Source organism: Homo sapiens, chromosome X (genome assembly GCF_000001405.40).
Source record: "Homo sapiens chromosome X, GRCh38.p14 Primary Assembly".
Taxonomy (NCBI): Eukaryota; Metazoa; Chordata; class Mammalia; order Primates; family Hominidae; genus Homo; species Homo sapiens.
In genome coordinates this window covers 68328680-68355210 of record NC_000023.11, presented here as the reverse complement: position 1 = coordinate 68355210, position 26531 = coordinate 68328680, and the positions used below count along the sequence as shown (strand labels likewise).

The window sequence follows — 26531 nt, the reverse complement described above, 5'->3', positions numbered from 1 at the left end:
GTTTTCTGACACAACTAGAAAGATTTTCCTTTGTCTCTGCATTTCAAGAGAAAGCTTCTCTAGTCACAGTCATGTAAAATGTAAAACTCTTGAGTACAAATGAAGGAATTCTGCAGAGCTTAAATAAATACAGGCTGACTAATATGTAGGGGAAACTAGCCTAGTCACTCAGAGTCTCCAGTCTGATGCCACTGAGTTATAGGCACCTTCCTGGGCCCAACAGTTGGGTTTATGAAGACAGGATCTGGATGTCCATTCCAGGCCCCAGAATATTTACCTAAGATATATGTACTCATAAAATCAGAAAGAATATTTGACTGCAGATAGGAAATAATTAGGGATGAGCAGAGCCTTATGATCACAGAGGTAGTGGGAGGTATGGCCAGAATTTGAACTACAAACTCAGTGTTCTTTCTATCTCATCATGACGTTTCTTTTAGTTTTTTTTTTTTTTTTGAGACGGAGTCTCTCGCTATCACCCATGCTGGAGTGCAGTGGCGTGACCTTGGCTCACTGCAACCTCCGCCTCCTGGGTTCAAGTGATTCTCCTGTCTCAGCCTCCCAAGTAGCTGGGACTACAGGTGTGTGCCACCACGCCCAGCTATTTTTTTTTTTAGTAGAGTCGGGGTTTCACCATGTTGGCCAGGCTGGTCTCAAACTCCTGACCGCAGGTGATCTACCCACCTTGGCCTCCCAAAGTGCTGGGATTACAGGCATGAGCCACCGCGCCCGACTTTTTTTTTTTTTTTTTTTTTTTTGAGATGGAGTCTTACTCTGTCGCCCAGGCTGGAGTGCAGTGGTGGTGTGATCTCGGCTCACTGCAATCTCTGCCTCCTGGGTTCAAGCAATTCTTGAACTCGGTCTCGGTCTCCCGAGTAGCTGGGATTACAGGTGTCTGCAACCACGCCCAGCTAATTTTTGTATTTTTAGTAGAGATGGGGTATCACCATGTTGGCCAGGCTGGTCTCAAACTCCTGACCTCAAGTAATCTGCCAGCCTCGGCCTCCTAAAGTGCAGGGATCATAGGTGTGAGCCACTGAGCCTGGCCTTATCATAACTTCTCAAACACTGCTCAACAATGCCTTGTCCAGAGACATTATCAATGGCTAATATCATTTTAATGCTCTTTTATTAAACTATGTATATACTGAGTTTGTATAAATAGTGGATTTAAAATGAGTATCTGTGAATAGGAACCTTATTCTTTGAAATAATGTACTCTAACTTTTTCGATTTCAGCATCTGTTTTGCTGAGTCTTCATCACTATGGTCTAGGATGTTAAGTCAATAATATTGAAAGGTCTGCCTGTATATTTTGTTTTAGTACTAACTTTTTACAATATTATATTTTAGGAAGAAAAAAAGACTAATTTATGCCTTGTGGTGTAGCTCCTTTGAGTGTATATTAAAACAGTCATGGTTGCTGAAATGAAGAAATTGAGCAATGGAAATTGTGAAAGTAGAATGGAATCTTACAAATAAGTTAATATGAGAAATAATTATAAGGTATTATCATTTTCTTGATTATTTGATCTTATTATGCTTTAATATTCTACAAAAGCATTTGTCATTTTAAGTAGGAAACAAAAACAGCATAAATTTACTTTTTACACGTTATTTATTTATTTATTTATTTAAGGTGGAGTTTTGCTTTTGTTGCCCAGGCTGGAATGCAGTGGTGTGACCTTGGCTCATTGCAACCTCCTCCTCCCGGGTTCAAGCGATTCTCCTGCTTCAGCCTCCTGAATAGCTGGGATTACAGGCACCCGCCACCATGGCTTTTTTTTTTTTTTTTTTTTTTTCCTGTAGAGACGGGGTTTCACCATGTTGGCCAGGCTGGTCTCAAACTCCTGACCTCAGGTGATCTACTCGCCTCAGCCTACCAAAGTGCTGGGATTACAGGCATGAGCCACCATGCCCGGCCTACTTTTTACACTTTAAATAGGTGAATTTTATGGTATATGAAGTATGTCTCAATAAAAGTATTTATAAGAACCTGCACTTAATCTCCCTGTTGTTCTGATTTTTCTTAATGCACCTTCTTTTTTTTTGTTTGAGACAGGGTCTCTCCCTGTCTCCAAGGCTGGAGTCCAGGGGTACGTGCGTTCATGGCTCACTGCAGCCTCGGCTTCCTGAGCTGAAGTGATCCTCCCACCTCAACCTCCTGAGTAACTGGGACCACAGGTGCAAGCCACCACGCCTGGCTAATTTTTTGAATTTTTGTAGAGATAGGATCTTCCTATGTTGGCCAGGCTGGTCTCGAACTCCTGGGCTCAGCAATCCACTCGCCTCAGCCTCCCATAGTGTTAGGATTACAGGCGTAAGCCACTGCACCGGGCCTGATACACCTTTCTTCTGAAGAAACTTTTCTTTCCCTCTGTGGATGACTTTTTTCCCTTCTTACCATAAAGCATTGAGATGTTCCTCCTGCTTCGTTGCTCTTTCCTATAACTAGTTTTAAAAATAGTTGTCTAAATTTTAGAGAAAGTAAAACCCTTTCTAGTTCTGACATTGGAAGGACTTTATGAAGGATTTTGTGCTTTAGTTTCATCAAAGTCTCCCAATGAAACCTAAGTTGCTTTCCATTCTAAGCCTGGTGTTTATTTTAATAAGTGAATGTTTTCCCATAGCTGGGGGAAACATCTAGGCCTCATTCTCCTCTTTCTGCCAATAAATATGTTATAATTGTAGCTCCAGTGATACTATTTCTTTACATTAAGGTGAAAGCTTACAAGAAATGCATGCATAGCAAATCATTGGGCTTTGGGATCAAAGCACTGTCCGGCTGATAATCTAGTTTCCATCAAATAGTGATGTGTTTTGAGGAGGGCTGGGTGTTTTTTTTTTTTCATTTCTTTTGTTAATTAATTGTAATAAAAGCCTCTAAAGGATTTTTCTGGAGACTGTCTACCAAATCTTCTGAACAGGGAAAATTTTATAGGAATAATATTAATATTCTTTGGAAAATTTTCCAAAGTTTAAGCCCCTTAAGAAGGTTTTACCTTCTGGGTGCGGAGTTGGATTTAACAAACATTTCTGGCTGGGCGTGGCGGCTCACGTCTGTAATCCCAGCACTTTCAGAGGCTGAGGCGGGCAGATCACGAGGTCAGGAGATCATCCTGGCTAACACGGTGAAACCCCGTCTGTACTAAAAATACAAAAATAAATTAGCCGGGCGCGGTGGCGGGCAACTGTAGTCCCAGCTACTTGGGAGGCTGAGGCAGGAGAATGGCGTGAACCCGGGAGGTGGAGCTTGCAGTGAGCCGAGATCGCGCCACTGCACTCCAGCCTGGGCGACAGAGCAAGACTCCGTCTCAAAAAAAAAAAAAAAAAAAAAGAAAAAAAAATTAGCCAGGCGTGGTGGCAGGCACCTGTAATCCCAGCTACTCGGGAGGCTGTGGCAGGAGAATGGTGTGAACCCGGGAGGCGGAGCTTGCAGTGAGCCGAGATCGCGGCACTGCACTCCCGCCTGGGCGACAGAGCAAGACTCTGTCTCAAAAACAACAACAACAACAACAAAAAACCAGAAAACCAAACATTTCTTTGGTGGCTGCTGGGAGGTCCTGTACTAGACCCAGGGGATGGAGAGATGAAGCAACCACAGTGCCAGCCTACAGGTGTCCCACGGCTGGATGAGAGAGACAGGGTAATTCACAACCAGCTGTGCTTTGGTGACCATGTTTAGTGAACCAAATTTGGAATATATGGTCATTATTAATAGCAGTGTACTTATGTGCTTATGGTAACAATGAGATGGAATATTTTAAACTGGGGCCTTCCTTATTTTCTGGGATATATAGTATCATATACAGATAAATCGAAATTTTGTGACTCTTGTTCAAGAGTACTCCTGAGTTTACAGTCAGTGGTGAGGTAAGAGGAAACAGTGTTACTGACTTCTTTGCTTTTTTCTTACTCCTCCCCTGACATTTTCAGGTGGGTGAAATCTGGTTGAGGGGACATCAAAAGAATTTCAGAAAAATAGGCCAGGTGTGGTGGCTCACGCCTGTAATCCCAGCACTTTGGGAGGCCGAGGTGGGTGGATCACGAGGCCAGGAGTTCGAGACCAGCCTGACCAACATAGTGAAACCCCGTCTCTACTAAAAATACAAAAATTAGCTGGGCGTGGTGGTGCTCGCCTGTAATCCCAGCTACTCAGGAGGCTGAGGCAGGAGAATCGCTTGAACCTGGGAGGCGGAAGTTGCAGTGAGCTGAGATCATGCCATTGCACTCCAGCCTGGGCAACAGAGTGAGGCTCATCTCAAACAAAACAAAACAAAAAACAGTTTCAGAAAAATAAAGTCACTAAAAGACCCTGTGTGGTCTAAGGGGTATGAAAATATGGCAGAGGCAGCTCTATGCCCTAGTAACACTTGGCATTTTAAAGGCTTTTTTTGACCTGGTGCAATGGCCCACAACTGTAATCCCAACACTTGGTAGGCCAAGGTAGGCAGACTGCTTAAGTCCAGGAGTTTGAGATCAGCCTGGGCAACAAGTGAGACCCTGTCTCTATAAAAAATTTAAAAATTACCCAAGTGTGGTGGCATGTGCCTGTAGTCCCATCTACTTGGGAGGCTGAGTGGGGGAGGATGTCTTGAGTCCAGGAGTTCAATGCTGCAGTGAGCACTCTAGCCTAGGTGATAGAGCAAGTCTCTGTCGGAAAGAAGGGAGGAAGGGAGGAAGGGAGGGAGGGAGGGAGGAAGGAAGGAAAGGAGGAAGGGAGGAAGGGAGGGAGGGAGGAAGGAAGGAAGGAAGGGAGGGAGAGAGGGAGGGAGAGAGGGAGGGAGGGGAGAGAGAAAGAAAAAGGAAAGAAAGAAAAGAAAGAAAAAGCAAGCAAGCAAAAGAGGAAGAGAAAAAGAAAGAAAGGCAGGCTCTTCCTACTATGTAAATATGATTTGGTTATTCACTGGTTGTTAAAATAGTTCATAGTTTGAAAATTAAACTTATTAAAAATTATTTATTTTGTTGATACATAATAGATGTACATATTTTCAAAGTACATATGATAATTTGATACTTTCATATAATCAAATCAGTGTAATTAAGGTATCCATCACCTTACATATTTAACTTTCTTAATGCTAGGAACATTTGAATTGTTGTCTCCTAGCTGTTTTGAAATGCACAATAGATTTTTTTGTATTTTTTAAAAATTATACTTTAGGTTCTGGATTACATGTGCAGAACGTGCAGTTTTGTTACATAGGTATACGCATGCCATGGTGGTTTGCTGCACTCCTCAACCCGTCACCTACATTAGGTATTTCTCCTAATGTTATCCCTCCCCTAGCCCCCCACCCCCTGACAGGCCCGAGTGTGTGATGTTCCCCTCCTTGTGTCCATGTGTTCTCATTGTTTAACTCCCACTTATGAGTGAGAACATGCAGTGTTTGGTTTTCTGATCTTGTGATAGTTTGCTGAGAATGATGGTTTCCAGCTTCATCCATATCCCTGCAAAGGACATGAACTCATCCTTTTTTTATGGCTGCATAGGATTCCATGGTGTATATGTGCCACATTTTCTTCATCCAGTCTATCATTGATGGACATCTGGGTTGGTTCCAAGTCTTTGCTATTGTGAATAGTGGCACAATAAACATACGTGTGCATGTGTCTTTATCGTAGAATGATTTATAATCCTTTGGGTATATACCCAGTAATGGGATTGCTGGGTCAAATGGTATTTCTAGTTCTAGATCCCTGAGGAATCACCACACTGACTTCCACGATGGTTGGACTAATTTACACTCCCACCAACAGTGTAAAAGCATTCCTATTTTTCCACAACCTCTCCAGCATCTGTTATTTCCTGACTTTTTAATGATCACCATTCTAACTGGTGTGAGATGGTATCTCATTGTGGTTTTGATTTGCGTTTCTCTAATGACCAGTGATGATGAGCATTTTTTCATATGTCTGTTGGCTGCATAAATGTCTTCTTTTGAGAAGTGTCTGTTCATATCCTTTGCCCATTTTTTGATGGGGTTGTTTGTTTTTTTTTCTTGTTAATTTGTTTAGGTTCTTTGTAGATTCTGGATATTAGCCCTTTGTCAGATGGATAGATTGCAAAATTTGTCTCCCATTCTGTAGGTTGCCTGTTCCCTCTGATGATAGTTTCTTTTGCTGGAAATGCACAATAGATTAATGTTAATTAATCTATCCAGCATCAGGTCTTAGGAAATTTAAACTTCTTTAGATGGCATTCAAGCTATTCACAGTTTGTCTTCTATTTGTACCACTTCTCCAGTTTTATCTTCTATTTCTCCCCTCCACACCTCCTACTTGCCAAATGCATTGGGTTCTCAGAATATTTCTAATTTCCTTTTGGATTCCTTGTCTATTTATCTGCTGTTTCCTCTGCCTGGAATTTCCTCCTCCATTCTCACCTGTGTGAACATCTCCTTATCCTTGAAGTCATAGCCAAATATCTGTCACTCTTCTGTGGAGCCTTTCCTATGCCAAAACAATTACTCTGTTGTTCGTCTTTGTAGCCCTAGTGCCTATCACAATGCTTGTCACCAAATAGGTGCTGAGTAAACATTTTGCATGAGGTTCATTCGTTTTCATACTATAATAGCAAATATGCTCCCTAAGGAAATTTGAAAAATACAGAAGAATATAAATAAGAAAGTAGCAATCATGCACAGCCGCAGTAACAACCACTTTTTTTTTTTGACATATTCTAGTCTTTTCTAAGTATATCATATATTTTGTAGATGGTTGAGATTGTTTTGGTAAAAGGTTGATAAATTGCTCTCTTTATTACTTCTTTCCACTCATGTTTCATGATCCCCTGATGGTCTTCTTGCTCTGGCTGTGTTCATATAGTTATATTCTCTTTCCTCCCCATCTTCCACTTGCACACTTGCTAGTTCCCTCCTCAAAAACCTAATTAGATGTGTTTCTCTTTGTTGGCTATGTCCTCCACCTTCACTAACCTTGTTTTTCATCAAAACCTGTTATCAAACCAATAGTCACAATGAGTTTTGCATGATTGAACCCATCTACTTCTCTACCTGATCCTCTAACACTGATGGAAATTAAATATGGATATTTAAGCTGTAAGTGACCTTGGGGAGGCTAGTCCTCCCTTGTCATTTTCAGATAACTCATGTGCCCCACACATAGGTGGTGGTAAGTGTGTAGTAGGGCCCTCCCTATTCCTAGCCTTTTGTTCTTACTGAGGTCTTATAGCTGGTAATTGGCAGCATCAGGACTAGAGTCCAGGTCTAACTGATTCCTAAGCTAACCTATATTCCTTGATAGGTTGCTCTGTTAAAATGTTATTTGGTTGTTGAAGATAACTTTTGTCTCCAAAATCCATGTGTCTTTTCTCTCTTACCAAAGTGCTTTGCAAAATTAATGTTCCCCACACATTAGCCTGACTGACCAACTGACCCAGGATAGAATGGTTCCTTGCTTTGGAACTTCTCCCAGGCTCACCCAGAGAGCTTCTTAGCAGAGCTAGGAATAATATTCATATCTTCTAATGTCTAGATTTTCAGTTTAGGCCATGAGAGCCAGCTGAGTTCTCTGAGGAGAGTTCCTCATTTTTTTTTAATCAGGAAATATAGAAATCAATATGTGAGTGTTAGCTTGGCACAGTGGCTCATGCCTGTAATTCCACCTTTTTGGGAGGCTGAGGCAGGACGATTGCTTGAGCCTGAGAGTTTGAAACCAGCCTGAGCAACATAGAGAGACCTCATCTCTACAAAAAATACAAAAATTAGCTGGGCATGGTGGCGTGCACCTATGGTCACAGCTACTCAGGAGGCTGAGATTGGAGGATAGCTTGAGCCCATGAGATTTGATACTGCAGTGATCTGAGATTGTGCTACTGCACTCCAGCCTGGGTGACAGGGCAAATCCCTGTCTAAAGATATAAATATATGGGTGTTAAAATTTGATCACTGGCAATGTTAATTCAGGATTCACAGAATCATAAGATGTTAGAACTGAGAGGAGCCTTTGAAGTTCTGTAGTGCAGCCCCATTTTACTGATGAAGGAAATGAGGTCCTGAGAGGGCCCAAGGTCACATAGCTGTAAATGGTGGGGAAGGTACTAGCAGGAGCCTCAGGCCTCCAATACTAAAAGACACTGGAGAATATATTAGGCAGGGCCACAAGGTAGGTGAAGAAGAAAGTCTTGGGATATGTGTCTTTTCCTCTGACATATTATAGCATGTGTCATATTTGTGAATGGGAAGGGGTCCACAAAAATAACATTTGCTTCGTACACTCTAGTTCTGTGTTGTATATACACATGAAGGATTGTCACAAGGTAGGTAAACAAATTAGATTGTTTTCCCAAAAGAATTCTCGCAGAGAAATTGAGCTTACTTTGTCAGCTTTTTACGATGAACAGAATTTGGAGTATAATGATTTGGGGGCTGTGGGTTCCCCGTGTGCAAACTAATATTCTCAGCAAACACACTTTGCAGAAAGCAGCTAGAGTTGATGGAAAGAGGTCTGTCCTGGGATTAAATACTGGTCCTGCTGGAAACTTATTGTGGACAATTAATAGGGACCTTTTCCCTCTCCCAGCCTCAGTTTCCTGTTATGTAAAATCAGAGATTACATTTGTTCATTTCATGGATTTTCTTGTGCTGATATCTTATTTCTAAGGTCATTTTTTCAGCTTTCTGCTGAAGCAGTCACTCCTCTCAGCTATTTGCTGTATTCCAAGAGAGGTCTCCATTCTCTCCTTATTGCCTAATTAGATTGTTGTATACTACAGACTGATGGACATGCTGTGCTTTTCATTTATGCAGAAGCCTTTGTTTTCTCTTGGATTTCCCAGTTGTTTTGCTTCTGGTTGATTTATCCTTGGACTCTATTGTTATTTGATACAGCCTCCTATTAATAGAAGTTTGTCTTCTTGGTCACTTCTCTCTTCAGTTCATCAGTTCTGAAAACTGTGTTTTCATTCAGTGCTCAGAGGACTCCACTCTTGCTTTATTTAATCTGAGATGCCTCCAAATATAACAGTATGTGTATTCAAGACCATACAATTTGTACCTGTGTTGATAGTTAGTCTCTGTGGTTTCTTTTAAAATGACATTTGTTTATTTATTTATTTATTTGAGACAGAGTCCCTTTCTGTTGCCCAGGCTGGAGTGCAGTGGTGCGATCACGGCCCACTGCAGCCTCAACCTCCCAAGCTCAAGCTATCTTCCCACCTCAGCCCCCTAGTAGCTGGGACTACAGGCAAGCACTACCATGCCTGGCTAATTTTTCATATTTTTTTGTAGAGACGGGGTTTCACCGTGTTGCCCAGGGTGGTCTCAAACTCCTGGACTCAAAGGACCCGCCTCAGCCTCCCAAAGTGTTGGGATTATAGGCGTGAGCCGATTAACCCAGCCAAAAAGGACATTTATATACTATTATAACATTCTTGTAGAAATACTGGAGAATATTTTTATGCATAAGCACAGTTCTTCTTGAATTGTATACATATTTGAATTGTATCTGGGACTACAGGCGTGTGCCACCACACCTGGATAATTTTTGTATTTTTGGTAGAGAAGGGGTTTTGCCGTGTTTCCCAGGCTGGTCTGGAACTCCTGGGTTCAAGTGATTTGCCCATCTCAGCCTCCCAAAGTGCTGGGATTACAGGCATGAGCTCCCCGGCTGATACAAGACTATTTTCTAATCTACAGACTTTATTCAAAATTTACCAATTGTGAGGTTTTTAAAACAAATCTCATTTTGTAAAACCCACCTCCACTGAGATTTTGCTATGAATTAAGTAATCTCTATTTTTGGACATTGAGAACATTATCATTTTTTGTTTTGGTATTTTGAGTAATGCTGTGTGCATTTTTGTAGATATAGGTTTTTAATCTCCTTTCAAATTATTTCTTTAAGATATACATTCCTATGGAGGGTTATTGGTCAAAGGGTATAGATATTTTGGTGGCTTTGGTAAGCTGAACTCCATTCTTTTGAGAGGAAGTTTACACAATGTGTGAAAGCAGAAGTATTGGAATGAGACAGACCTTGTTTAAAGTCCTGTTTGTAACATTTGCCAGCTGTGTGATCTCTCTCAAGTGTCTTCTACTTCGAGTGCTTCTTTCTTTATTTGAAAAAATGGAAATTACAATTTGTACTCCACAGAGTTGTTTGAAGTTTAAATGAGAAAAACTTATGTAGTAAATTTAGCACATTATGACAATAGGTATTATGATTTTCTCCTCTTTGGATTGTAAATTCCAGGAGGGCAGGGATGTTGTCTATCTGGGTCCCTATGTTGTCTCTGGCACCTAACACAGTACTTGGTGCAAAGAAAGTACTGAAGAAATATTAATCGAATAGATGAATGTCATAGGTTATAATAATTTATAGTACCAGCAGTAATTTTAAAACTATATGTGTTTTCTTGCAGTCCTATAAGCATAGCATTTTATTAAAAAATAAAACCTTTCTGCTGTCTGCTATTTTAATGTGTTCTTGTCTAATTAGCATTTTATGTTTTTATTATCTTTTTTAATTTTTATTTTTTGTAGGGGGTGTCTCACTGTGTTGCCCAGGCTGATCTTGAACTCCTGGGTTCAAGCGCTCCTCCCTCCTTGACTTCCCAAAGTGCTGGGATTACAGGTGTGAGCCACGTTGCCCAGTGTCCCCCAGGCTGGAGTGCAGTGGCACAATCTCGGCTCGGTACAACCTCTGCCTCCTGGGTTCAAGTGATTCTCCTGCCTCAGCCTCCTGAGTAGCTGGGATTACAGGCACCCAACTCCATGTCTGGCTAATTTTTGTAATTTTTGTAAAGGTGGGGTTTCACCATGTCGGCCAGGCTGGTCTTGAACTCCTGACCTCAATTGGTCTGCCTGCCTTGGCTTCCCAAAGTGCTGGGATTACAGATGTGAGCCACCATGCCCAGCTATTATTTCTTACATAAATTTTGCATATATATTGGTTGGGGCTTCTCTTGAATGTGCCAGTGAGAAAATACCCATTGGTTGGTCGATGAAAGGGATGGGGTTTTCATAGATGTTGTATCTTTCCTTTCTTAGAATAACATTTAAACAGGTTCAGTGACAAGCAAGTTAAACTACACATTTTACCTTTCCAAAAATGGGGTTGACCTGGCCAAAGGGTTGACAACACCTTTGGATAGTTCCCACATTCTTACATCATTGCTAAGACTTACTAAATTGATAGGATCTTTATAATGGTGCTTTTGACACTTAAATGTGTATGTGAATCACCTAGGATGTATTAAAATGAAGCCTGATTCAGTAGATCTGGGGAACACACTTTGAGTAGCAAGGCTATACGCCAGTCTTAAAGGTGAAAAAGTGAGAGAGATCAGTAGTTGCATTGGGTTGAGGGATCAAGGGAGGGTTCTTTTTATTTCAGGATGGGAATTACTTAAGTGTGTTTATTGATCCAGTGAGGTTATAACTATGCTATTCATTTCTGAGTCACAAGAGCTATTCAAGACATGGCAAATATTGCTTTTCTGTATACGAAGGACTTCCATGTCCATCGTTTGAGTCAGTGTTTCACAACCTTTTTTTTTTCATTATCATCCCCTTAAGGAGACTTTTTAGGTATTCTTATCCTCATTGCAACCCACATCAATTCTTATATGACAGTTTTAATGAGATATAATTCACATACCATACATGTCATTGGTTTCTATTATTTCCTTCAAACCCACAACCATGGGCAATCACTCACTTATTTTCTGTCTTTATAGATTTGATTTGCCTATTTTTTTTTCGTTTGACAGAGTTTTGCTTTTGTCACCTAGGCACGCGACCATGTCTGGCTAATTTTTGTATTTTTAGTAGAGACGGTGTTTCACCATGTTGGCCGGGCTCATCTCGAACTCCTGACCTCAAGTGATCTGCCCGCCTCAGCCTCCCAAAGTGCTGGGATTACAGCTGTGAGCCACCATGCCCAGCGCCCCTCCCCCCCCGCTTTTTTTTTTTGAGACAGAGCTTCTCTCTTGTCTCCCAGGCTGGAATGCAATGGCATGATCTCGACTCACTGTAACCTCCACCTCCTGGGTTCAAGCGATTCTCCTGCTTCAGCCTCCCGAGTAGCTGGGATTACAGGCACCTGCCACCATGCCTAGCTAATTTTTGTATTTTTAGTGGAGATGGGGTTTTGCCATGTTGGCCTAGGCTGATCTCGAACTCCTGACTTCAGGTGATCCACCTGCCTCGCCCTCCCAAAGTGCTGGGATTACAGGCATGAGCTACTGCACCCAGACTTTTCTTCTTCTTCGTTCTTCTTTCTTCTTTTTTTCTTCTTCTTCGTCTTCGTGACAGATCTCACTCTGTCACCCAAGTTAGAGTGCATTGACCTAAACTTGTCTTACTGCAGCCTTGACCTCTCAGGCTCAGGTGATCCTCCTGCCTCAGCCTCCTGAGTAGCTGGGACTACAGGTTTGTGCCACTGCACCTGGCTAATTTTTTATTTTTTATAAAGATGGTATCTTACCATGCTGCCCAGGCTGGTCTCAAACTCCTGGGTTCAAGCGACCCTCCCACCTTGGCCTCTGAAAGTGCTGGGATTGCAGATGGGAGCCACCACATCCAGCCTGAATTGTCTGTTTCATATAAATGGAATCAAACCACATGTGATCTTTTGTTACTGCTTTCTTTTACTTTTTGAGTGTAATTAATTTTTATTGTATATATTTGTATTCATTTATTTTTAAAAACATTTTATTTTGAAATATCAAACATAAAAGTAGAGAGAATAGTATGATGAACTTGATGTGTCCATCAACCCCTCTTCAACAGTTATCAATTTATGGCCACTTTTGTTTTATCTGTATACCTACCTATTTTCCCTTTTCCCATTGGATTATTTTGAAGCAAGTCTCAAATAACATATTACATTTTTGTATTTACCTCACAAAATAAGAACATAGAGAAACCATACCACAATCCTTTATCACACCTAAGGCAATTTAAAATATTTTCTTGGCTGGGCGTGGTAGCACACACCTGTAATCCAAGCACTTTGGGAGGCTGAGGTGGGTGGATCACTTGAGCCCAGGAGTTTGATACCAGCCTGGGTAACATGCTGAAACCCCTTCTCTACAAAAAAATAGAAAAATCAGCCGGGCATGGTGGTGCACACCTGTGGTCCCAGCTATTCAGGAGCCTGAGGTGGGAGGATCACTTGAGCCTGGGAGGTTGAGGCTGCAGTGAGTGGAGATTGTGCCGCTGCACTTTAGCCTGGATGACAGAGTGAGACTGTGTCTCAAAAAAAAAAAAAAAAAAACACCAAAAATTAACTTTTTTTCATTAATAATCAAATAAAGAATAAATATGCAAATTTTTAAATTTGAAAATCAGGATTCAGAGTTCATACATTGTGCCAGATTGATATATTTCTTTTCTTTTTTCTTTTTTTTAGATAGGGTCTGGCCGTGTCACTCAGGCTGGAGTGCAGTGGCACGATCATGACTCACTGCAGCAGTGACCTCCAGGCTCAAGTGATTCTCCCATCTCAGCCTCCTGAGTAGCTGGGACTACAGGCTCGTGCCGCCATGCCTGGCTAATTTTTTATATATTTTTTTGTAGAGACGGGGTTTCCCTGTGTTGCCCAGGCTGGTCTTGAACTCCTGAACTCAAGTGATATACCCACCTTGTCCTCCCAAAGTGTTGGGATTACAGGTGTGAACCACCATGCCCTGCCAATATGTTTCTTAAATCTGTTTTAAAAATGCCACCTCCTTTTTCTTTCTACAATTTCCTTGTTGAATAAATTGGTAGTTTGACCTATAGAGTTTGCCATATTCTACATTTTACTGATCGCATAATCATGTTGTCATTTTACATGTTCCCCTGTTTCCTATATGTTTATAGGAAAAATATAGATCTGGATGTTTGATCAGATTTAGGTTTAGGGTTTTTTTTTTTTGAAAGTGTGTGTATTATATTGCCTGATATAGGAGGTTCATAATATCTGGTTATCTTCTTCTATTTTCTGTGATCTTAAGATTCATCAGTGTTTGTAGGGGTTTTCAGCTTGATCCTTGCATTTTGAAATTTCCCATCAGCTTTTCTTTCACCTAATGGTCTTAGCAGTTATTGCTTAGATATGCTATTTAATTATGGGTTGCACAATGGTGATATTTTAATTCTATTACAACTTCATTTTTTTTTTTTTTGCAGTAAAAAAATGTTTAATTGATGTGAGGCAGGCCACATGGTGGTGGTTCTTCTTCTTTTTTTTTTTTTCTTTTTGAGACAGAGTTTTGTTCTCGTTGCCCAGGCTGGAGTGTGTGATCTCGGCTCGCTGCAACCTCCACCTCCCGGGTTCAAGCGGTTCTCCTGCCTCAGCCTCTCCGAGTAGCTGGGATTACAGGCACCCACCACCATGCCTGGCTAATTTGTTGTATTTTTAGTAGAGACAGGGTTTCATCATGTTGGCCAGGCTGGCCTTAAGCTCCTGACCTCAGGTGATCCACCCACCTTGGCCTCCCAAAGTGCTGGGATTACAGGTGTGATCCCACAGTGGTGCCCGGCCAGTTCTTCATTTTTAAAACTATTTTTTTTTCTCTTGTTCCTTGTGTTTTGGGTGTCATACCTATGAAATCATTGCTTAGTCCAAGGTCAAGAGATTTATCCCTATGTTTTCTTTTAAGAGTATTATAGTTTTAGATTTTGTATTTAGGTCTGTCAACCATTTCGGGTTAACTTTTGTGTAGTATGAGGTAAGGTACAACTTCATTCTTTTGCAGGTAATATGTTTGTGCCAGCACCATTTGTTAAAGACAGTGTTCTCTCTCCACTGAATTGTTGTGACATTTTTTTGAAAATAAATTGACCACAAATGTGTAGGCTTATTTCTGGATTCCCAATTCTATTTTATTGATCTATATGTCTATGTTTATGCCAAGACCACATAGTCATGATTACTGTGGCTGTGTAGTAAGGTTTTAAATTTAGAAGTGTGAGTTCTTTAACATTGTTCTTTTTCAAGATAGTTTTGACTATTTTTGGTCCCTTTAATTTCCATATGAATTTCAGATCACCATGTCAACTTCTGCCAGAAAGACAGCTGGGATTTTGTTAGACATTGCAGTTAAATCCGTAGAACAATTTGAGGGAATATTTCCATCTTAACAACATTAGGTGTTCTGATACATGAACATGGAATGTCTTTCCATTTATTTAGGTGTTCTTTCATTTCTTTCACCAGTGTTTTGTAGTTTCCAGTATACAAAGTTTGCATTAATTAGTTAAATTCATTTCTAAGTATTATTTTTCAGACCATTGTACGTGAAACAGTGTTCTTTATTTTTGCATTGTTTATTGCTAGTGTATAGAAATACAATTTGTGGCCCGGTGCAGTGGCTCATGCCTATAATTCCAGTACTTTGGGAGGCTGAGGCGGGCAGATCACTTGAGGTCAGGAGTTTGAGACCAACCTGGCCAACATGGAGAAACCCTGTCACTATTAAAAATATAAAAATTAGCTGGGCACGGTGGCACATGCCTATAATTCCAGCTACCTGGGAGGCTGAAGCACGAGAATCACTTGAACCTGGGAGGCAGAGGGTGCAGCGAGCTGAGATTCTGCCACTGCACTCCAGCCTGAGTGACAGAGTGAGACTGTCTCAAAAAAAGAAAAAGAAATACATTTGTGTTTGTATTGATTTTATATTCTGTAACCTTGATGAACTTATTTATTACTTCTAATAGTTTTTTTAAAAACTGGATTCCATTAGATTGTTTTGTATACAAGATCATGTCATCTGCATATACAAATAGTTTTATTTCTTCCTTTCCAATCTGCATGTTTTTCACTTCTTTTCTTTGCCTGTGTCCTGGCTCAAATCTCTAGTACAGTGTTGACTAGAACTGGTGAAAGCAGACATCCTTGTCTCCTTCTTGATATCATGGGGAAAGTATTCGGTCTTTCACCATTAAGTATGAGGTTAGCTGTTGTGTTTTTCATAGATTTTCTTTATGAGGTGGAGGAGATTTCCTTCTGTTCCTAGTTTGTTGAATGTTTTTATAAAGAAAGATTTTGGACTTTGTCAATTACTTAATCTACATCTGGTGAAATGATCATGTGGTTTTTCTCTTATATTCTATTTATGTGGTATATTACATTAATTTTCATATATATATAAATATATATATATATATATTTTTTTTTTTCAGACAGGGTCTCACTGTTGCCCAGGCTGGAGTGCAGTGACACAATCAGGGCTCTCACTGCAGCCCTGACCTCCTGGGCTCAAGTGACCCTTCCGCCTTGGCTCCCCGAATAGCTGGGACTACAAGCTTGTGCCACCATGCCTGGCTAATTTTTTTTTTACTATTAGTAGAGATGGGGTTTCACCATGTTGCCCAGGCCAGTCTTGAACTCCTGAGCTCAAGGGATCCTCCTGCCTTGGCCTCCCAGAATGTTGGGATTACAGGCGTGAGCCACTGCGCCCAGAATTTTTTGTATGTTGGAGCAACATTGCATTATTGGCATAAATTCCACTTTGTCATTATGTAGAGTCCTTTTTATATATTTCTGGAATCAGTTTGCTGTTTGTTGTTGTTGAAGGTGTTGTTTTAATATTTATAACAGACTTTTGTATTTAGACTTATTTTCTTGTGGTTAGTTTAATTTTTATATTAGGGTAATACTGGCCTTACAGACTGAGTTGGGAAGTTTTTGTATGTTGTGTCTTTATTTTGCATTTATCTGAAAATATTTTCTAATTTGTCTTGTGATTTATTGTTTTACCCATTTACTGCTTAGTAGCATGTTGTTCATCTTCCATATCTTTGTAAATTTCTTAACATTTCTGTTATTAATTTCTAATTTTATTCCTGTGGCCATAAAACATACTTCTTATGATTTCAGTTCTTTCAAATTTATTGATGGTTGTTTAATGAAGTAGCATATAATCTATCCTGGATAATTTTATTAGTGCACGTGAGAAGAATGTGTATTCTGCTATTGTTGGGTGAAGTGTTCTATAGATGTTTGTTAAGTCTTGTTAGCTTTTCATATTTTTGAAGTCTTATATTTCTGAAGTATTGATTTTCTATCTAGATCTAACCATTATTGAAAGTGAGTTACTGGCTGGGCGTGGTGGCTCACGCCTGTAATCCCAGCACTTTGGGAAGAGCCGAGGTGGGCGGATAACTTGAGCTCAGGAGTTCAAGACCAGCCTGGGCAACACAGTGAGACTCTGTCTCTAAAAAAAATAAATAAATAAAAAAAAAGAAAGTGAATCGTTGAATTCTTCAATGTCTATTGTTGGATTGTCTATTTTTCCATTCAATTTTGTCATTGTTTATTTTATGTATTATGTATTTTGGGCTCTGATGCTCTGATGTTATGTGCATACATGTTTATAATTGTTATATCTTCTTGATGGATTGACTCGTATCATTATAAAATATCTCTCCTGATTTCCATTGTCTTTTTTTTTTTTTTTTGGTTTGGAGTGTATTTTGTCCTATTCTAATATAGCCACTCCAGGTTTCTGATCTTTTTCATACTTAGCTTTTAACATATTTGTGTCTTTGAATGTGAGATGTGTCTCCTGTAGACTGCATATAGTTGTCTCTTTAAAAAAAATTTAGCTGGTTGTGGGGGCTCATGCCTGTAATCCTAGCAACTCAGGAAGCTAAGGCAGGAGGATCATTTGGGGTCAATATTTTGAGGCCTGCCTGGGCAACGTAGACCTTGTCTTTAGAAAAAAAACCAAAAATTAAGTTTTGCACTTAAACAAATTTATATTGTTTAATGTATTTCTGTTGAATGTTACTATTGACATAGGTGGATTTACATCTGCCATTGTGGTTTAAAAATTTGTCTCATGCTTTTTCGTTGCTATATTCCTCCTTAACTGCTTTATTTTGCATTCGGTGCTGTTATTGTTATACATATTTTATCTATAATATTTAAAAATCGAACAATACGTTTTTATAATAATTATCCTAGAGGTTTTTGTAACTTTTAAAGAAGTTGATGCGTAAGAATGGGAAAAAAATTGAAAAAGACAAAAATGAACATACAGAAACAATTTTTTAAAAAAGTTGAAGGAAGGGAACAAGTGTACCTTTATAGCATTTGTTATAGTAACATTTTTGGGTGCAATTTCTGGTTCTTTTCATTTGTTTTTGTGGGTTCATGTTACCATTTTGTGTCATTTTCTTACTTCTTTTTTTTGGGACAGAGTCTCACTCTGTCACCCAGGCTGGAGTGCAGTGGTGTGATCTTGACTCACCACAACCTCTCCCTCCCGGGTTCAAGCAATTCTCCTGCATCAGCCTCCCGAGTAGCTGGAATTATAGATGCGTACCACCATGCCTAGCTAATGTTTTCTTTTTGTATTTTTGGTAGAGATGGGGTTTCACCATGTTGGCCAGGCTGGTCTCAAACTCCTGACCTCAAGTGATCCTCCCACCTCGGTCTCCCAAAGTACTGGGATTACAGGCATGAGCCACCACGCCTGGCCCATAATAGCTTTGCTTTAATCCACTTCTGTGATCATATTGGAAAATAAATTTTTTTAGCCATGGGCCCCGAAATACACACACACACACACACACACACTCTCACACACACACACACACGTACACACATAGAGTTTAATATAATTGCCTTTTACATCGGTTAAGAGAAGAAAGAAGAAGATACATATGTTTATACTGTCTTTTTCCTTTTTATTTTTTGAGACTCGGTCTTGCCCTGTTGCCCAGGCTGGAGTATGATGGTGTGATCTTCGCTTACTGCAACCTTGATCTCCCAGGATCAAGACAATCCTCCTACCTCAGCTTCCCAAGTAGCTGGGACTACAGGTGTGTACCACCACACCCAGCTAATTTTTTAAATTAATTAATTAATTAATTTTATTATTTTATTTTTTTGTAGAGATGGGGTCTCAGTCTGTTGCCCAGGTTGGTCTTAAACTCCTGGGCTCAAGCAATCCTTTTGCCTCGGCCTCCCAAAGTGTTGGGATTACAGGCGTGAACACTGTTCCTGGCCTATACTGTCTTTTATAATTATAAAATTTCCTTTACAAGACATCTCAGTTTAAAAAAATTAATTAATTACTTTTTTAGCAAGCATTTCTGTGAAAGAGAGATCTCAGTTTTTTATGTGAATTTGAATTACTCTCTGTGGTCAACTGCTTTGAGATTCAAGAAGTCCTTCAGTATTTCTTGTGAGTCCACTAGCAGAGGACTCTCTCACTAGAATCTGGGTCTCAACTTATACAATGAAAATCAGCATCTTTGAGGGTGGAGCCTAGGCAACGGTAGTTTAAAAAATTGTACCATGTTATTATTTTTATTTTTTTGAGGCGGAGTCTACTCTTTTGCCCAAGCTAAAGTGCAGAGACATGATCTCTGCTCATTGCAGCCTCCACCTCTCGGGTTCAAGTGATTCTTCTGCCTCAGCCTCCCAAGTAGATTGGACTACAGGTGCACGCCACCCGTGCCCAGCTAATTTTTATATTTTTAGTAGAGATGGGGTTTCACCATGTTTGCCAGGCTGGTCTCTAACTCCTGACCTCAAGTGATCCACCTGCCTTGGCCTCCCAAAGTGCTGATTTTACAGGCGTGAGCCACCGTGCCCAGCAAATTCTGATAATAAACCAAGGACTATAACCACAGGGTTAGATGATTTCCAAGGTCTCATGTAGCTCTCACATCGTGTGACACTGTGGATAGATTTCGTAGTTCATGTTAGACCACACCTTCGTAGCATATCAGTCTGACAGAGGCCTGTGGTTCTCAAAGTTTGTCCCTAGAAAAACAGCATCAGCATCTCCTGGTAAAATGTTAACATTGCAAATTCTCAGGCACCACTCTACGTGGAATGAATCAGCAATGGACATTCCTGCAAAGGACACAGCAGTATGTGTATTAACAAACTCTATCTCTCCATGTGATTCTATTGCACTGTGAAGTTTGAGAACCACTGGCATAGAGAAAGAGAACTGTGGGCTTTGGGGTCCGAGGACTTCTCATTAGTCTTGGAGAGGTATGTATAAATGACCAGTTATTTTGGGCACCTAACGTATCTTCGTTGAGCACCCCCCCGCTTTTTTTTTTTTAAGGAGAGGAAGAATATTTGCATTTTCTTAACTCACATGGTTGTTGTGAGGCTAGAGCGCTTATGTCAAAGCCCCTTTGTAAACTGCGAAGCATGTAGGCACACACAAGGAGTCATTGTGAGCAAGGGAAGTACAATTCATTAAGCATCTCTTCTGGGACAGGAACTATTAATTAATTAATTAATTAATTAATTGAGACAGGGTCTTATTCTGTCGCCCAAGCTGGAGTGCAATGGTGCAATCTTGGCTCACTGCAACCTCTGCATCCTGGGCTCAGATAATCCTCCTGCCTCAGCCTCCCAAGTAGCTGGGACTACAGGCATGCACCACCATGCCTGGCTAATTTTTGTATTTTTTGTAGAGATGGGGTTTCACCATGTTGCCCAAGCTGGTCTCAAACTCCCGGACTCAAGGGATCCTTCCACCTTGGCCTCCCAAAGTGCTGGGATTACAGGTCTGAGGCACTGCACCCAGCCAGGAATTTCATATTTATTATTTTATTTAATTCATAACCACTCTACATGTAGTGAAATAATTATTTAGAAATCCAATTTAGTTTTTGAATTGTATTGGAATTTATACATTGAAATTCAACATCAATCCAGCTGCATCAAAGTCTAACTATATGGAAATTCATCGATATCAAAATGTAAGTACACAAAGATCAAACTGCATCAAAATCCACAGGAGAGCTAGGAGAAAAATTGTGTATATTAAAATACTAAGAGCATTTTGTTGCATTCTCCCACCTCCTCACCAACAAAAGCTCAAAATCTTGTCCTGTCATATCAGTAGCTAAAGCATGTTAACACTTAGCTCTTACACTAAACTAGTTACTTCTTTGACTTAGGGGAAGTCATACTTCCTTACTGGATTGTACTTTAATCTTTCTATTTTAAAATTAGTGGTTTTACAGAAATAAAATCTTTAAAATATAATTCTTACCTTAGTCTATTTAAAACATGCTGTTACAGCTCAGCATGGTGGCTCATGCCTGTAATCCCTGCACCTTGGGAGGCTCAGGTGGGCAGATCACTTGAGGCTGGGAGTTTGAGACCAGCCTGGACAACATGGCGAAAACCCATCTCTACTAAAAATACAAAAATTAAATGGGTGTGGTAGCGCATGCCTGTAGTCCCAGCTTCTTGGGAGGCCGAGGCATGAGAATCGCTTGATCCCGGGAGGCAGAGGTTGCAGTGAGCCGAGATGATGCACTGCATTCCAGCGTGGGGACAGAGAGAGACTCTGGCTCCCCCAACCCAAAAAAAAAAAAAAAAATTCATTTGAAATTAGAGAAAACTTCCCTGCCAACATTGGTCCTTAAGAGTGTGATTAGGAGCTCTCAGAAGTCACGGGTTTTATTCTGAAATTAATAACACTTGCTTCCCAATAGAGAGGTACTCACTGTGCATGAGAATATTTTGATGTTTTGTCACAGCCATTTCATATATGGAGGTGCGTGTGTGTGTGTGTGTGTGTGTCTGTGTGTGTGTGTGTGCACGCACGCGCGCTTTATTATTTATTTATTTATTTTGAGACGGAGTTTCACTCTTGTTGCCCAGGCTGGAGTGCAATAGTGCGATTTCAGCTCACAGCAACCTCCGCCTCCCGGGTTCAAGTGATTCTCCTGCCTCAGCCTCCTGAGTAGCTGGGATTACAGGCATGTGCCACCATGCCCAGCTAATTCTGTATTTTTAGTAGAGACGGGTTTTCGCCATGTTGTCCAGGCTGGTCTCAAACTCCCGGCCTCAGGTGATCTGCCTGCTCGGCCTCTCAAAGTGCTGGGATTACAGGCGTGAGCCACCGTGCCCGGCCGCATGTGTGTGTGCTTTAAACCACTAATCTTATTGGATGAATATTATTACATTATATGACATTTGCATGCATTCTATTATTATTATTATTATTATTATTTGTAGAGATGGGGGTCTCACTATGTATCCCAGGCTGGTCTCAAACTCCTGGCCTAAGGTGATCTTCCTGCCTGTACTAAGATTACAGGCATGAACCACCACGCCTGGCCTTTTTTTAAAAAAATAAGTATTTATTTATTTTTGCATGCATTTTATGGCCACCGTTATATATACTATGGCTTAACAGGGGCTAGAATGTGAACTTGAAGTTTTAGTGTTTCGGTTCCTTTCTCTGTAAATTTGAATGAGGCTAGCTAGTGATGGAGTGGTCAGTTTCTGAAGAATATTGTTATCTTGGCACTAAAGAAACAAATTAGCTCCCATTTTCTATTATTCCTGCATCCAGGCAGCAGAATCTGTTTGCTTTATTTACTGAAGATTCGTGTACAGGCACAGTAGCAGCCTGTGTTCCTATGGTTTGAAGGCTTTAAGCTCTTTGCTGTTTTTTTTTTTTAATTTCCATAAATTATCATTTAGAGGTAATAGAAATGGTTGGGAGGTTATAAAGATTTTCCCCCTATCGTTTTTTGGCCCAGAAATCTCCTGCTTTGTTCTCTCAAAGGCTGAGTCTTTAGCAGAGGCTCTGCCAAAAAGAACTGGAGTTTTCCCTTGGGAATCAGAGGAAAGGCTCAGTATTCAGCAAATTTGAAAAAGGCAAGCTTTTCAGATGTTAATAAGTCTAAACAGGACCCAGGAAGCTCTGCAGTCTCCAAGGCAGATTAAATACCCAAGTGGTATAACCTTTCCCTCGGCTGTGGCCAGGTTCTTAACTATTGGTGATAACTTTAAGAACGGATCACAAAGGTGGAATTCTCCCAAAAGTCATCACTCTGAACTTGGAATCCAATACAAGCTTCAAAAGTCACAGCAAGCAATAAGCACTGGCAACACCAGGCGCCTATTTGGGTGCCAGATTTTCACATTTTCTTTGGGTTTCTCACCATGTCTCTAACCCCAGCTGCTAGTGAATGCTTAACTGCCAGTTGCTGCCACAAACGTCATGTTGGAAATGAAAAAAAAAGTTCTCTGCCTTGGAAAGAGCACAGGAGACACAGCAAAAAGCTAGTTATTTTCATCATCATCATTATTAATGCAAATTTAAAAGCACAGAGTCATAAAATAGACACTGTGTACACATGTCCTCAAGATAAACATTCTGTCATGTTTGCTTCAGATCGTTCTCATTCTTTTTTCTTATTTATTTATTTATTTATTTATTTATGAGACAGAGTCTCACTGTGTCACCAGGCTGGAGTGCAATGGTGCGATCTCGGCTCACCACAACCTCTGCCTCTCAGGTTCAAGTGATTCTCCTGCCTCAGCCTCCCCAGTAGCTGGGACTACAGGCATGCACCACCACACCAAGCTAATTTTTTTGTAGTTTTAGTAGAGACAGAGTTTCACCATGTTGGCCAGATTGGTCTCGATCTCTTGACCTCGTGATCCACCTGCCTCAGCCTCCCAAAGTGCTGGGATTACAGGCAGGAGCCACTGCACCCGGCCTCTTTTTTTTTTTTTTTTTTTTTGATACAGAGTCTAGCTCTGTCACCCAGGCTGGAATGCAGTGGTGCGATCTTGGCTCACTGCAACCTGTGTCTGGTGGATTCAAGTGATTCATGTGTTTCAGCTTCCCAGGTAGTTGGGATTACAGGTGCCTGCCACCATACCCAGCTGATTTTGTTTTTTTAGTAGAGACTGGGTTACACCGTATTGGCCAGGCTGGTCTCGAACTTCTAGCCTCAAGCTATCCACCCACCTCGGCCTCCCAAAGTGCTGAGATTACTGGCTTGAGCCACCGCACCTGGCCCAGATCGATCTCATTTTCTAAGTAAAACATAGAGATAGTGAAATCTGCGTTTACCTCTTTCCCCAGTCCTTATTACTTTCTCTCACCAAGGGCAGCCACAATGCTGAATTTGGTATTTATCCTTCTTGGCAATGTTTTCTGTTTATATATAATATTATAATCATTATGTAATATAATTATATATTAATACATATATCTACTAATATATAATTAATACAATACATTATAATTATAAGATATAACTATTATATAATTATGTACTATATTGTATATAATCATATATAAATTATACAAGTACAATATAATTTTACATAAATTATATAAACATAACTATATAAATTATATATATAATTTTATGTACATTATATAAGTATACTTTTACAGAATTATACATCTTATGTATATTATATATGAGATATATATTAGATATATACTAGATGTATACATTTGTTGTTTGTGTCTATATATATGGAATAGAAAACATGGCCAAGAAGAATGCATGCCAAATATATATTTAAATATATTAATATGTAATATATTTAATAAATCTATATTTAATAGTTATATTAAATATTTTAGTTATATAAATATATAAATGCTTATATTTATAGATACTATGAATATTATATAGAGATATAAATATATATTTGTGCTGGAAATGTTTTGTATATTTAAATTTTTTTTACAAGTGGAATCATACTATATGTACTTCAACTTGTTTTTTTTTCCACTTAGCATTGTTCTTTTTCGAATTTTAGATATTTTCATGTTGATATACAGTATATAGATATAATTCATTCTTCACTTTTTTTTTAAAGAGGCAGAGTCTCACTATGTTGCCCAGGTTGGGCTCGAACGCCTGGGCTCAAATGATCCTCCTGCCTCAGCCTCCCAAGTAGCTGGAACTAAAGGCACTTGTTGCCATGCTGGGATTCATTAACTTATAATACTCACTAGGACACTTCTGTTATGAATATTGTTGGGAAAATTAAAAATTAAATCTCTTGCTAACTTAGAAAATCCTTTTCACAAATGTGGAAAAGAAAGAAAACTGGCCGAGCGCTGTGCTCATGCCTGTAATCCCAGCACTTTGGGAGGCTGAGGCAGGCAGATCACCTGAGGTCAGGAGGTCGAGGCCAACCTGGCCAACATGGTGAAACCCTGTCTGTACAAAAATACAAAAATTAGCTGGGCATGATGGTGGGTGCCTGTAATCCTACTACTCGGGAGGCTGAGGCGGGAGAATCGCTTGAACCCAGGAGGTGGAGGTTGCTGTGAGCCGAGATCTTGCTGTTGCACTCCAGCCTGGGCGACAGAGTGAAACTCTGTCTCAAAAAAAGGAAGAAAAAAAAAAAGAAAAAGAAGAAAGGAAAAGAAAGAAAACCATTGTGTTACTGAAAGCATTAAATCAGACGGGGATGTGAATGACAGGTAATACACTAATGAGACTGTAAGCATAGAAAGAAATGTCACACTTTTACATAGGCAAGAATATATGATCCATTTACATATGTGTTCTCAATATAAAGCATAACTTGCCCTCCAGTTAGATTTGACAGCACTTTTATTTTACATAGTTCAGGCAATATTCACCTTGTAGTTGAGGTGGCCATATGTTAGCTAATTGCCTTTATCCAAAGAAAAAAATATAACTTCTCTTGTCTATATGCCCAGCAGGCATTTAAGATTTAAAGCAAGGTACCTAAGCTAAACTCCCTGAGGTAACAAGGAGATAGAGGTATATTTATCTTGATGTTAATGTTTCAAAGAGATGGATCCCCAGGTCCTTAAGAAAAATATTAGGTGGTCATGCTGGCAAGAGGCTTATTTAGCTCTTTAGAACATTTGCATAGTTATAGAAAAGATAGAAGGTGGCTTTGTAATAACCTTTTCTTGAGGAAATGCTCTAAGAAAAGGAAGAATGGAAAAGCCTTTTCCTATTCAGCAACTGGGAACATTCAATCCTACTATATACTACATATTTATTTATTCATTTACTTATAAATGGGCATGTAGGCTATTTCTAATATTTCATTATTTCCCATAATATGCCAATGAACATCCTTATCTATGCCTTCCTGGGCAGTGTGCAAGAGTTACTCAGATTATGAGCATTGTTAATACTACAGATATTTCCAAATTGTATTCCTGAGTGCTTATACACATTTATACTTACACCAACAAATATAAGACTATCCACTTTATCCATTTGTTCACATCATTAAGATTTGAGGCTGGGTACAGTGGCTCATACCTGTAATCCCTGCACTTTGGGAGGCTGAGGTGGGTGGATCACTTGAGGTCAGGAGTTCAAGGCCAGCCTGGCCAACATGGCGAAACTCCGTCTCTACTGAAAATACAAAAATTAGCGGGGCGTGGTGGTGGGCGCCTGTAATCCCAGTCACTTGGGAGGCTGAGGCAGGAGAATCACTTGAACCCAGGAGGCGGAGAGTGCAGTGAACTGAGATCGCATCATTGCACTCCAGCCTGGGCAACAAGAGCGAGACTCCATCTCAAAAAATAAAAAGATTTGAAATGGCCAGACCTTAAACATTTTGCCAATCTGACGGATGTGAAATGGTATCTCATTATTCCTTAATTTTTGTTTTCCTAACTACTAATTGAGTATGTTACAATGTGTTTATTAGCCATTCATATTTTCTTTTTTGTGACGTGCTTATTTTTGTAGTATTTGCCCATTTTTCTTTTGGGTTTTTGGTCTTCATTATTGATTTATAAGAGTCCTTTCTATATTTTAGAAGTTAGTATT

The 26531-nt window shown here is 39.9% G+C and overlaps 1 protein-coding gene across 7 annotated transcripts in view; it reads left to right on the top strand.

The window, feature by feature from the left end:
* OPHN1 (oligophrenin 1) overlaps nucleotides 1-26531 on the top strand; it is a 391498-nt gene that overhangs the window by 78631 nt on the left and 286336 nt on the right. Inside the window, exon 1 of one of the 7 annotated variants that reach the window (XM_047442144.1) lies at nucleotides 19517-19968. The exons of the other annotated variants lie outside the window; for them this stretch is intronic. The gene's annotated coding sequence lies outside the window, so the exon portion shown is untranslated. Of the gene's footprint in view, nucleotides 1-19516; nucleotides 19969-26531 lie in introns of those variants that run through there. 7 annotated transcript variants of the gene reach the window in all.